Genomic DNA, 14,586 nt, shown 5'->3' with positions numbered 1-14,586 from the left:
TTGCTTTTGGCAGTATGGTCATTTTCACAATATTGATTCTACCCATCCATGAGCATGGGATGTGTTTCCATTTGTTTGTGTCATCTATGATTTCTTTCAGCAGTCAAAGAACACCTCTTTAAAGCAACTTGATAAAGGCCATTTTAGTTATACTAGGAACATGTTGTCCTATTCCGGCTGCCCTGAAACTCTTTTTGCCTGTGGTTCCAGGCAAGCAGACAGGCTCAGGATGAGATCTCTGGACTCAGGTAGCCCTCCCTGATGCAGGATTTGTCAGTATCCAAACTCCTTCTCCAGGAACATGTGAACGATAGGGGACTTGGCAATAGCCCCAGATTCCTCTAGCGCCTCCCTCCCCATAAGGCACAGGAGTGGGTCTGCAATCACAGGCAGTGCCCTGGGTGGGCCCTCCACAATGCCACAGATCCTGACCTGTGGCCTCCTGAATTGAAGACAGAAATGAGGGCTGTCCTTGTTAGCTACCTCCGGGGCTCTGTGCTTATTCTAGCAGACACTAAACATTTTTGAACTTCTGAAAACAGCCTCGACTGTCGTTCTAAATTTAAAAACAAGCAAACTGTTTCATTACTTAATAGACAAACCTTGTGTTGTGTTTTTTTGAGGTGGGGGAGAGAGGAAGGTTGTTGTTTTGTTTTTTAAACTAAAATACTGTCACCCAGCTTGCCCAGATTTGATTCCCTCTTCCCCAGATTTTCCCGAATGGAGTTGGGCTGTTTCCAAAAACCAAATTAGTATTCAAAAACAGTTCTGAAGTTTTAATCACCACTAAGGATATATTTTTTTTAATTTTTAAATTTAAAAAATAAAAAGTAACCCCGCACCATCAGATCAATTGGCTGTTCCCAGAATGCAGATCCACAGTTGGAACACAGGCAGCATCCCTGGCATGAGCTGCCTCAAGGCCGTGCTGTGAGGAGAGTAACCCTCATCTGGAAGTGGTCAGTGAGGCAGTCAGTCATGCTATCACCTACTAAGTGCCTCAGAAACCAAATTCCAGAGGACAGAGAGGAAGATGGATTTGACTTCAGAGAAAACAGTGTAAATGCCCCAGCAGGAGGAACCAGAACAACTCCCAAAGAGACAGGGGCTGCCAGGGGAGAATTTGTGTCTTCAGAGGTTAAGGTCTGGTCTAGTTCCCTGCCTCTGACCCACAAAGCTCTCATGAAAGAACTTGGAATGTGAGACGGGGCAAAAATCCCTGCCAAAACAGCCATGAAGGAGCCAGAAAAATGAAGGTGCCACAAAGCTTTTCCCCAATTCTCTGAGTTACAAGGCCCTGGTTCCTTCCCAGACACAACAAAGTCACCTTCTCCTGGCCTCATCATCCTCCTCTTCCTTCCCCAAGTCCTGCCGTGTGTAAAAGAAGATCTCTGCCCAGGCTGACCAGAGGAGAGTAAGGTATTTTCTTCCTGGCTTTGCACATTCATTCAGCCTTGAAAAGCTCAGGCCAGGAAAGAAGTCCAGGAGTATGTGTTGTGCGGTGCTGCAGTGCTCACTTCCCAGTGATGGAGGCTCCCTCTCACTAAGTTTCTTCTCCTCCCATCAGTGTTCTCACCGGCTCGGGTTCTAGGCTCTGGGCACTTGAAGTGATGATTGAGCTTCCCTCACAAACCTTAGGAAAATGTGGCCCCAAACTAAGCATTACTAATGCACAGCTTTGCTCATCAAGACATGTCCACCTGGGGCTCCAACAGGGTAGAGGAGGCTGGAGGGATAGGAAAGTGGTTGTGTAATTCAGGCAGCACCCAGTCATCAGCACTAATGATGGAAAGAGATACTGGGTTGTTGAAATGATGGATAATCAATATTCCAGAATAATGGATATTGTTTGTTAGGAGACAACATGATTCTTGGCAGCTGAGTTGTCTTCTTAAAGATCTACTTGTAAAAAACAGCCACATGAAAAGAAGACTGTTCCAGATTTAAAACTGACCATATAATACACATACGGAAAAAAAGTGAGAACTGGCTATGTGGGGAAGACATGGAGGAAGTTAGAGCTCAGAGGGACTTATGACATCATTTCCCCCATTTTACAGAGGAGGAACTAAGGTCCAGGGAAGCGAACAGATTGCCTTGTGTCACATAATTATTTGGTGGAAAAGCCAGAAATGGGCCTGGGTTGTCTAAACAGGGCACTGTTCACTTGGCCACAGTAGTCCAAGGGCTTCACCTGGAAAAGAACCATCATTCTAAGCATGTGATGCTGACCTCCCGGCAGTGGCTGCTTCTGTAATCACCACAATTTCCCAACACACAAGTCACCTCATGTGTTCCTACACCCTGATGTCACAGCTGCCACTGAGAGCCCTGAGCCAAGTACCATGATGATTCATAAATCACTGCCCAATTCTTTAAAGTCACAGCATTGTCTTTGTCAACAGCACCTTATGTGATTCTAATCAGTAGCTGCCATCAATTTCATCAAGTTCAAGTACAATCTTACTTCTTAGTATTTGGGTGGCCCTTTTAATGTTTTTCAAAAACTCCTTGATAGCTTATACCTCACTTTATGTTCACCAGACCCCATGGGTCAAAGGTAGAGGAGTGACTGGAAGGTCTATTTCATATACTCCTTGAAGAACTGACCTGTAAGTAAACACAGTTGGTAACTGGGGCTGAGAGACTATAGCAGAGGACTCCTGAGTCACAGACTCCAGTTCTTTCCAGAGCAAGTTGGAAGCAGGAAAAATATGCTAAAATTCACAAGAAGTTTCAGGGGCAAGAACCTTAAGAATATTATCTGTTAACCTTCAGACATATAGAAGACACTGGGGTCTGTGGCAAATTACTCAGCATCACACTTCAGCAATCTCTCTTCCTTTTCTTTGCTTTTTCATTAAAGCATAACTTGCACAAAGTATACAAATCATAAGGGTACAGCTGGGTGAATTTCTGCATATGTTATACACTAATATAATCACCAGACCAAGATTTAGAACATTTACAGCTACCCAGAAGGCTCCCTCATGCCCCCTTCCAGTCAAGAATAGCTATTATTCTGACCTCTGTCCCACACATTAGGTTTGTTTGGTCATATAAGTGGGAGAATACAATATGTATTCTCTTATGTCTGGCTTCCTTTCGCAATCTTCTAAGATGCTTCTATACTATTAGAGTGCCAATAGTGCGCTCTTTATCTTTTCTGTATAACATTCTGTGGCGTTGATATACAATGTATTTATCCATTCTACTGTTGTTGGAAACAACATTTTGGTTGTTTCCAGTTTGAGGCTGTTATGAATAAAGCTGATATGAACATTCTTGTACATGCTTTTGTTTTTGTTTTTAGATGGAGTTCAAATCTATTGGGTATATCCAGGTGTAGAATTATGGGTTCATGGGGTGTGCATAATAGATATCATGAAAATTCTCTTTAAAGTGCTGTATAAATATACACTCCCACCAGCAAAGTAAGTTCCAGGAACTCCATAGTCTCAACAAAACTTGATATTATTGGTAAATAGTCATTTTTAAAGTATCACTGGAAAAGACGGTACCCCATGTATGTTTCCAGATAACTGATGTTAGTCTTTAAGCAGTTTTTAAAAAAAATCTAATAATTTTACTTCTTGAAAATAGTAAACTACCTAACCATTGCAGACTACACTGAGAAGTTCAGAGAGCTCTGAATATACATTTAACATATTCAGAGATATACTAAATATCTAAGGATTTCACTCTCTCCTCCTTCATGGGTAGATATCACTAAGGTATCAGCAGCCCAGAGCACCTCCCTCTAATCTCTGTCCTGGAAAATATTAAAGACGGCCCAATCAGGAACTTTAATTTATACACTACCATAGGTCAATAAGTTCTGGTCACATGGGCTTTCCACTAGAAAGGCTATTTCTATGTCCTGAATGGTAAAAGTTGTCCCCAAAATAGGTAAGTGAGTTGTTATTCATTTCACTTGCTTTTATGTGGCTTGGCAAATGTTAATCAGTTATCAAACAATACACATTTATAAAGCACATATTCTGTTACCGAGCTAGACATTCTGGAAGTTCCTTGAAGGGGCAGGGCTCCAGAACACATCACATGGAATGTTGTCATCTGCCTTCTTTTTCTCACTTTACCCATCCAACCCCTTTCACAGATGAAATGAGGTTAAAACAAACTTCACTGATGACCTTGGCTTTAGAGGGGAAAGCAAGGCCCAAAAGAGGTTTCCTGGGGAATGAAAACAGAAGAAGGGAGAACAGCCCTGCCCATAGGGCCATGGTGATAGAGTGAATGGGTGATTGAAGGCGACGTGATTATTACAACCTCTGGTCTTCTTTACAACAGAAGACCAAGCTCTATCTTATCCTTTATCCAACCTCCACCCATCATGAACTTCCTTCTCCCTTGCCTCTTGGTGCCATTGTCCAGGAGATTGAAGTAGAGCATCACATCCCACACCTAACCACCAAGTGCAGTGCCTAAGACAAGACATATTCCCTGACCTTACAAAACATACCACCCTTAAAGAGTATGTCTCTAGTTGGGTGGGTAAAGTGAGAAGGGGCTCTGTTCTAAATGCAGGGTGCAAACTGGAGTATGAGTCACTATGGACAGGCATTGAGCTGATCCTTAAAGCAGACAGGACTTAAGGCAGAGCAGTGAAGCAGACGTAGAGAGTGCTCTGCCCTCTAGCAGAGCAAAAGACAACAGTAGGAAGAACATGGGACCCTTGGGATCTGTGAATAGACAGCACAAGCCTATCTAAGTGGCTTTCCATGCCACCATGATGCTGGGGCACCGTTCTGCTAATGCTCCTGAGTATGACGGACCTTCCTCAAACAAAAGCTGCCTGAGCACAATGACTGTGACTTTTAGGAATTTTCTTAGGAACACCCAAATATGAGCATGCTGAATACGGCTGTACGCAGTTTTACTCGTAAGCCTCTATGCCCTCAATTTCACAATTCATAGTTTCTGCTTGGCTCTCTAGATGTCAAATGCAAATGTCTGAGAACAACTCCATGATTTTCTGGGATGGAAAGCTGCTTCTATCCCTGTGCAGAGATATAACCAAGCCAACAGGGCAGCTAACACAGAGGAGGGGACAGGGAACAAGCACACAATGTTTAGACCAATGAGATGACTCTGGACCACAGAACTCTTCAGGACCAGTTGAAAAGGACACAGTGAGCATCTGAGAAGGAGGCAAGTAGGAAGACCTCGGCACCATACCACAGTCACCTGCATGAAGTTCTTGGATTACAATGCTCCCCTACAGAAGGCTCACTTCTTCTCCAAATAGCTTTTGGGGCCTAAATCAAGGTTTTTCATGGCTCTGTAGTCTTATTCCATCAGAAAAGACCTTCTACTTCTCTACTTCTTGTTACTTGGTTGAAATTTTCATTCCATTTTCCTGCTTCCCTGTATTGTCAACTCAGAGGGAACATTTGCCCTCTGGATGGGGCAGAAGTATAACTAACACCTTTGAATTGCCAACAAGTGAAATGGCATTGAGCTAAGACTTCCATTCTCAGCCCAAAAGTTTATTTGACCTCAGGCTTCTGTGTTTGCTATCTCAATAGTCTCTACGGAAAATCCATCTTTTTCAGGTCCAAATATCTTTTAATATACAAAAAGTAGCAAGTGGAGAGAGGGGTGAGGAATGGCCACCAGACAAACAAGCATAACACTGGTTGAAAGCATCAATGTCTCAATATCCCAGTCTTCTGGTTTTCTTTGTTCATAAACTGATCTTATTCCACTGATAAATGTGACTATAGTAATAATTAATAACTTGAGAAAAGTTAGTGTGACACATCAGTAAGTGCTTCTTGAGGGTGGGGAGTTGGCCTTAGTCATTGCTAGCACCTACCATACACCTGCCACAAATAAAAGTACTTAATAAATATTGAGGGAATACATGATTGAAGAAAGGCAAAAACTGAGTAACTTAAAACATATTCTACATGTCAAGGACATAAATTCTTAAGGGACACAAAATAATGAAGAGATTTCACCTCTAAAACTGTGGAATAAGCATAAAAAAGTAAATGAAGCATAAGAGAAAGAAAAAAAATAAGGAGACATGGATCAACCAAAAAGTATAACACACTGGCAAAAAGACTGTGTGATAGTAATAACTGCTGTCTCAATTAGCTGAAGGACTTCAAGTAGAAATGAAATTGTATAGCTTTGCATTACTCTAGAGGGTTGAACTAAGGTCAACAAGCCTAAATTAGACAAAGTCAGATTTCAATTACATAAAATAATTTACTAACAATTAGATCTGACCAACAATAAAATTAGCTGTCTCATGGAATCATGAGCACTTTGTCACTGAAGATAAGAATCACCATCACTCAGAGATCATCTAGAGGCAATTTCTGCCTCAAGTGGAAAGTTAGACTAAATGGACTCTAAGATCTCATTCATAACTAAGTTTCTACTAATCTAAAACTCTGTGGTCAAAAGTGGGTAATATCAAGCAAAGCAGACTTCCTGAAAGAGGGAAGTTTGGGGTCAGATTGAGAAGGGGGTAACAGAGAATGGTAAATTAGTCTAGTTTAGAAACACAGGTACATATTGGAGTGTAGGGTCCAGAAACCTCAGTAAGGGGAGGAGGATTAGAAAATAATCACTCTGACAGTATAATTGGTCTCAGGGACACTTTAAGGTCCAGAGATATTATTCTCAGAAACATCTATTTAGAATAAATTGGAGCCTTCCTAAACTGGTAGGTAATCCTAACCTGAATCAAATTTAAATGGGAAAATCTTATCAGATATTTGACAGGTTGAGGCAATATGGAGAAGCAATAGAGTCGCAAATTAAAGGAAGACAATAACAAGGCAAGTCTCACCCACAAATCTGCAACCAATTTGAAATTTATGAAGGGTGATCTCTGAGCTGCCTTGCCACAAAAGTACCCATCCTGGCAGCTTGGGGCTCCTGTCATTATCGAACCAGGGGTCATTATTTTATGAATCCCATATTGTAGTTGAGCCAGATAGACAACAGCACCTTCTTTCATTTCACTTGGATAATGGCCAGATACAAGTCACTTTACTATGACTTAGAGTATTGTGCCCATCTGTTCACAATTGATGGGAATAATTGAGGGGTGGAATGTGCCAGGCACTCTTGGACAAGCTACAGAAGTGGGCTAGGGGCTTTCTTGGCCATTTGCCATGTGACAATGATTCCCTCATCTGTGAACATATGGAGTAGATGAAACTGTCACTTGGAGAGCATGGTACAGCAGAGCTTGGACCATTTCATTTTCACAAGAAACTGTACATGAGTTATAGCAAGGAAATAGCTTTTACATCTTGATTACATCATGAGAAATTCTTCCAAACTTGTGACTGTGTAAATTCTCTTAGGAGAATCTGGCCTTGTGCCCCAAATCAGAAAGAAGTTATAATTGGATGTCATCTATGTCCACCATCTTGGATTTAAAACATGGAGGCAAATCACCCCAAAGGAGAAGAGTGGCCAGGGGATGTCCTGAGACCACACACAAACCTCCGTTTTCCACCTCTCAAGATGCAGGAGTGGTGGGGAGCAGGAAGAAGCCTCAAATATTTGCTCAGACTTTGCAAAAATTTCAATGATTGAAAGAAAGAAATCTGACCAACAGTCGCTGAGAAAACAGTTGAGGTAATATTGGGTTACAGGTATTTCTTAACATAATATTGAGGAAAAAAATAAAGGAATCCTACTGAAAAATCCTTCTGATTGATATATATCTTTTCAAGTTTGGAAAATTTCACTCATGATTAATTTTTTTTTAATAGAGAAAAAAAAACAGAATCATTAAGTTGAGGACTGGTAAAAGCAAGGAAATCTCTCCCAATTCTTGGCCAGACATTCACAAAACCATGATTCTCTCCTATTCAACATTTTGTATTTCAAGGCAAACGATGAAGGCAAAACAGATGTTCCTAAAAGGCAACCTAGAGTCAGAAGAGAATGTTAGTAGGTAAGCTGTCGAGATTTGGGGGTATGAGGTGGTAGAGTCACCTCCTTTTCCTCCAAACCTGCCTCAGAGTCAGGACGCAAACCAAGACGCAGCCTCTAACTCATGGAACCACTCCTGCTCAAAGCAGAAACACCTAATCAGGACAGCCCACTCCTAATTAAGCAGAGCATCTGATGGCCTAACTCTGAATCATCCAGGCTCTTAACAACACCTCTTTACTCCTCCTAAGTATTTCCCTGCCACTCACAGGGGAATCAAAGGCAAGGAGTAGAAGAAATTGACTCCAAGTCATTTTACTTTTTGTGGGCCACTGTGTTGAAAGCATTTCTAGGAAGGGGGATTATACTGTAAGTTAAAATGAGGTGTTTGTGTTTCCTCTGGACCTCCCTTAGACTCCCTCAAATGTCCAGGAATAAGGAAGAGTGGGCCTGGAAGACAGTGACTGCCTGCACTGCCAGGCACGGCACCAGAGCCCTCCACCCACCACATCACAGCTTCCTCTCATCTGTGTGACAGCTCAAGGTCACCAGCTCATGGAGGCTTGCTCATTCACTACACCATCTCTGACCTTGGGCTTCCTCCTTCCCTTCAAACTCTCCTGTCATCATGATAATCAGTATCTTTGAGTCATTTCATGTGTAGTTGTCTGTTCTCATGATTAGAAACTAACATGAAAGAACAGAGCAGGAAACTTGTAATCCAAGGTCCTAGATTCAAGGCTTGTTGCTAGGAAGCCATGGGCAAATCTCTTCACCTTTTTGAGATTCAGTTTCCTCATCTGTAAAAGGGCAATGATAATCCTTGCTTTACTGATTCAGAAGGCTATTGTGGATTCCAAATGAGATAACCCATGTGAAACCCTTTTGTAAATTGTAAATCATCCTATTTCTGTTGCTGGTACAGAGGCCATGTCTCTTCCTTATACTCCAGGTTCTGAACTAGGGTTGTACCCCACTCTGTAGGCTCAGCAAGATTTGGTTTAAATGCACTGAATGCCTTGTCCCTACAACGTTAAACGCAAACCCTCTCCCACGCATTACCATATACAGGTATACCTCAGAGGTATTGAGGGTTTGGTTCCAGACCACCACAATAAAGTGAGTCACATGAATTTTTTGTTTTCCGAGTACATATAAAGTTATGTTCACACTATGTTGTAGTCTATTAAGTGTGCAATAGCATGTCTAAAAAACAATGTACATATTTTAATTAAAAATATTTCACTGCTAAAAAATGCTAACAGTCATCTGAATCTTCAGCAATTCATTATCTTTTTACCGGTGGAGGGTCTTGCCTCAATGTGGATGGCTGCCAGAAATCAGGATAGTGGTTGCTGAAGGTGGGAGTGCCTGTGGCAATTTATTAAAATAAGACAACAATGATATTTGCCACATTGATTGACTCTTCCTTTCATTAAAGATTTCTCTACAGCATGTGATGCAGTGTGATAGCATTTTTCCCACAGTAGAAATTCTTTCAAAACTGGAGTGAATCCTCTCAAAACCAGCTGCTGCTTTATCAACTAAGTTTACAGAAATCTTTTGTCATTTCAACAATGTTCACAGCATCTTCACCAGAAGTCAATTCTATCTCAAGAAACCACTTTCTTTGCTCATCATAGGAAGCAGCTCCTCATCCATTCAATTTTCATCATGAGATTGCAATAATTCAGTCACATCTTCAAGCTCTACTTCTAATTCTAGTTTTCTTGCTATGTCTTCCACATCTGTGGTTACTTCTGCCACTGAAGCCTTGAACCCTTTAAAGTCATCCATGAGGGCTGGAATCAACTTCTTCCAAACTCCCATTAATGTTGATATTTTGACCTCCTCCCACGAACCACAAATGTTCTTAAGGCATCTACAATGATGAATCCTTCTCAGGTTTTCAATTTACTTTACCTAGATGTATCAGAGGAATCACTATCTATGGCAGCAATAGTCTTATGAAATGTACTTCTTAAATAATAAGACTTGAAAGTCAAAATCAGTCCTTGATCCATAAACTACAGAAAGGATGTTGTGTTAGCAGGCATGAAAGCAACATTTATCTCCTTGTACATCTCCATCAGAGCTCTGGGGTGACCAGGTGTATTGTCAATGAGCAAGTAATATTTTGAAAGGGATCTCTTTTTCTGAGCAGTGGGTCTCATCAGTGGGCTTAAAATATTCAGTAAGCCATGCTGTAAACAGATGTACTGTCATCCAGGCTTTCTTGGATTCGGGATTTGGGGGAATGGTAAATGAGCATTGGGTTCAACTTAAAGTCACCAGCTACATTAGCTCCTAACAAGGGAGTCAAGCTGTCCTTTCAAGCCAGACAGTGACTTCTCTTCTCTAGCTTCTTCCAATAGAAGGCTATTTCATCTACATTGAAAATCTGTTGTTTGGTGTAGACTTCTACATCAATTATCCTCTAGATAACTTGCTTCAGTTTTTACATCAGCACTTGCTGCTTCATCTTGCATTTTTATGTTGTAAAGACTGCTTCTTTCCCTCAGTCTCATGAACCAACCTCTGCTAGCTTCAAACTTTTCTTCTGCAGCTTCCTCCCCTCTCTCACCTTTCATAGAATTGAAGAGAATTAGTGCTTTGCTGTGGATTAGGCTTTGGTTTAAAGGAATGTTGTTGCTGACTTGATCTTCTATCCAGATCGCTAGAACTTTATATCAGCAATAAAGTTGTTTCCCCTTCTTATCATGTGTGTGTTCACTGAAATAGCACCTTTAATTTCCGTCAAGAATTTTTCCTTTGCATTCACAACTTGGCTAACAGTCTAACACAAGGCTTTCTGCCTATCTTGCCTTTTTTTTTTTGAGATGGAGTCTTGCTTTGTTGTCCAGGCTGGAGTGCAGTGGCGCAATCTCGGCTCACTGCAACCTCCGCCTCCCATGTTCAAGCGATTCTCCTGCCTCAGCCCTTGAGTACCTGGGATTACAGGCACGTGCCACCACGCCTGGCTAATTTTTGTGCTTTTTGTAGAGACTGGGTTTCATCATGTTGGTCAGGCTGGTCTCAAACTCCTGATCTTGTGATCCACTCACCTCGGCCTCCCAAAGTGCTGGGATTACAGGCATGAGCCACTGTGCCCGGCTGCTATCTTAGCCTTTAACATGCCTTCCTCACTAAGCTTCATCATTTCTAGCTTTTGATTTACCATGAGGGATGTATGACTCTTCCTTTCACTTGAACACTTAGAGGCCACTGTAGGATTATCAATTGGCCTAATTTCAATATTATTGCGTCTCAGGGAATAAAGAGGCCTGAGAAGAGAGGGAGAGATGAGAAAACAGCTGGTAGGTGGAGCAGTTAGAACACACACAATTATTAAGTTTGCAGTTTTATATGGGCATGGTTTGTGGTGCCCCCAATCATAATAGTAACATCAAAGATCCCTGATCACAGATAACCATAATAGATATAATAATAATGAAACAGTTTGAAATATTGTGAAAATTACCAAAATGTGACATAGAGACACGAAGTGAGCACATGCTATTGGATAAACAGTGTTGATAGACTTGCTCAATGCAGGGTTGCTACAAAACTTCAATTTGCAAAACATGCAATATCTGTGAAGTGCAATAAAGTAAAGTGCAATAAAGTGAGGAATGCCTATACACTCAGAAGTCAAGCTTTCATGCATATCATTATAAAAATGCCCACCAAGAAGGCTCCTGCAGTCTGGCTTTGTGCACCCCTACATATAAGACAGGAGAGCAGATCAGGACCTCAGAGTGTGCTGAAGGACACAATCACAGCAGCAGAGTGGAATTGAGCCTCCACCAGCACTGCAGACTGCACTGGTATATCCAGCTCCACTGCCCAGAAAGCAACTATCTTCCATGACAGCCAGGAATTTTTTCTCTTTCTCTTTAGCACCACCACCTGCAGAATTTCCATCACAACCACCGCAGCCAAACTCTCTGGCACCACTCATCTCACCATTTGGCAAGTGCAAAGCCCAAAATTCTCTCACTGGGACTTGTTTCTAGAGTCATAACTAAAATCTCTGATTGCCCAACAGAGAGCACCTGGGAGACCAAAAGGAGAAGAATGCTATGTGACATCTGAAGCCACTAATTGCCCATCTTCCCTGAAGCAATGTGCTGACAGTATCCTGTCCTTTTTTCTGAGTGTCTGCTAACAGGTCTGCCTGTGATTAGGAGGAGCACTTATACTGCTACTAAGTCACTCTGCACCTTCAACAGCTGACACCTATAAGCAGCTCCTTTGTTTTACAGTAAAGCAAATTCAATAATTAATGGCCTTATGGAGAATTCCAATCCACAGCCTCTTTGAACAGGGCTGCAAAAGCATCCCCAAACTGTAAAATTGTTTCTTCAAGTAGAAATAAATCACCACTTCTTGCATTTTATCATACAACCAGGTGCCATGGGCCCCAGAGTCAACCCTTCCCTAATGGTCTGATAAAGGAGATAAGAAATAGCTGAGTGCTCATGGGTGACTTGTGCAATATTTTACAAATATGAGAGAGAAATAAATAACACAGTACTGTAGACATGGCAATGATATCCTCTGAAAAACTTAAAATGCCCTCTCCACTGCCACCCAATTTCTGTCATGTTTTAAATATCTAACTCAAGCTTGACTTCTTCCATGAGGTAGCTTTTCTCTGATTACTCCAGCCTAGAAAAATTTATTCATTCAATATTTCTTTATTGAGCACCTACTGTATACCAGACATTGTGCTAGATTCTGGAGATAGAAAATATAAACAATCAAAACCTCTATCTGGTGGCTACATTCTCTAGTCTACTAATAGAAGTACTGTTTATACTCCTGCATCTTTCACAGATAGCATCTCCTGGAACTCACATTACTCTTCATTTTACAAAATAATTATTAACATGTCTTTTTAAGTAGCCATTTCTGATTTCTTTTTTTTTTTTTTTTTTTTTGAGATGGAGTCTCACTCTGTTGCCCAGGCTGGACTGCAGTGGCATGATCTTGGCTCACTGCAACATCTGCCTCTCGGGTTCAAGCAATTCTCATGCCTCAGCTTCCCAAGCAGCTGGGATTACAGGGTGCACCACCACGCCCAGCTAATTTTTGTATTTTTTTTAGTACAGATGGGGTTTCACCATGTTGGCCAGGCTGGTCTCAAACTCCTGACCTCAAGTGATCCACCTGCCTTGGCCTCCCAAAGTGCTGGGATTACAGGAGCATTTCTGAATTCTTTTATATTCTGCTAAGAGAAGGTGCTGCATAAATACACATTGAATGAATAGTTAGCTAATTATGTGAAAATATATATATATATATATATATATATATATATATTTTTAGTATTCCTATCTGGATTGTAAGTTTCTTGAAAAGTAGGGATTCTTCTGTTCACATTTCTGTATCTTCTAGACCATCAGCACAGTTCTAGGCACATGGCTCATTCTCAGTACATACTTAGTTAAATTCAGTAATTCTGCTAGAAATGGGAGTTCCTATTCTACATTTATACCATTAATCGCACTCTAGATTTAGAAAATGGGAAGTCTAAGGCAAAGGAAAACAAGATGGTCAGTTCTAAGTGACAGTCCCCTCAACATGCTCGCTAAGCTTTCTCTCTGACCAAAGCACTGTGTTTTTGAGAGAGGAATAAAGTCATATTTCATCTGTGGGGATTTACCTAAACCACCTGTGGATTGCAAGAAGAAAACCAGAATGGAATTAGAGCAGCAAGGCTGACTTTGGACAGCAAGACCACCCATAGAAACATCCATCATGTGACCCACACTGGATCTGCCTGCCAAAGGACCATGAACTCAGGAGTCAGAGCCACCTGCCCTGTCGGGGGAACGGCTACAGCCCAAACCAGTCCAGGAAGGCCTGGGTATCCTCATCACCCCATGTACCCACACTGCTGTCTTTTGTTTCAGCCTCTTGAAATCCATCTCCTAGAATAGCCAGTTTTGCTCTGATAAGCCACAACTAAGAAAGTCAGTGAACTGGGGCTGACCTCTGTGGGGAGATGGGTCAATATCCTCTACTACCTTAGGTGAGATTAGATGGATTGATGTTGTTCTCCCAATCCCCAAGGTGTGAGCACACCATTAGCATTGGTAAAGCATACCCAAGCAGCAGCCCAGGAATGGCATCAGGACATCCGTGTATCACCCCCAAAGGCATTAACCTGAATCAGAGCATTCTAAGTTCTAGACACACTTGAAAGCTGTCTCAGGGTTTGCCATCTGAAAATTCAGAGAACTTACCCTGAAGCCATCCTCCCTACTCCTCAAATTAGAAAGTGCCCCAGGACCTTCAAAATCAACCTTAAATAACAAAAAATTAGACAACATTTTCTATTCCAGACACAATGCTAGACCATGCTTCAGTCCTACCCGATCTGAATGATCTGATCCCTGCTCATGTTGGGACAGCCTGGAAGTAGTCCTGCCTCCTCCCCCATCCTTGCGATCTGAGACAGATCCTGAGGAAGCTGCTCTTGGAAGCCAGCAATGGCATTTAGTCATGCAAAGCAATGAGCTGACTTCATTTTCCTCAATAAATATTTCATTGAGATTCAGAGAAATAACAGAAATCTTACTCATGAGATTTATGTTTGTCTTAATGATTCACAGCATAATTTGTTGCAAATTAAATATTTATTTTAATATCTTC

At 41.5% G+C, this 14,586-nt stretch overlaps 1 protein-coding gene and 1 non-coding gene across 34 annotated transcripts in view; both read right to left on the bottom strand.

Annotated features, from left to right (window-relative positions):
- The window catches only part of KALRN (kalirin RhoGEF kinase), a 692,957-nt gene that overhangs the window by 592,363 nt on the left and 86,008 nt on the right, over positions 1-14,586 (bottom strand). The gene's annotated exons all lie outside the window — the stretch shown is intronic.
- On the bottom strand, positions 938-1,034 carry MIR5002 (microRNA 5002). Its single transcript, NR_049798.1, has one exon. It is a non-coding gene; the product is annotated as a microRNA 5002 (primary transcript).

The sequence above is a fragment of the Homo sapiens genome, chromosome 3, assembly GCF_000001405.40.
Source record: "Homo sapiens chromosome 3, GRCh38.p14 Primary Assembly".
Taxonomy (NCBI): Eukaryota; Metazoa; Chordata; class Mammalia; order Primates; family Hominidae; genus Homo; species Homo sapiens.
This window is presented reverse-complemented; position numbering and strand designations above follow the sequence as displayed.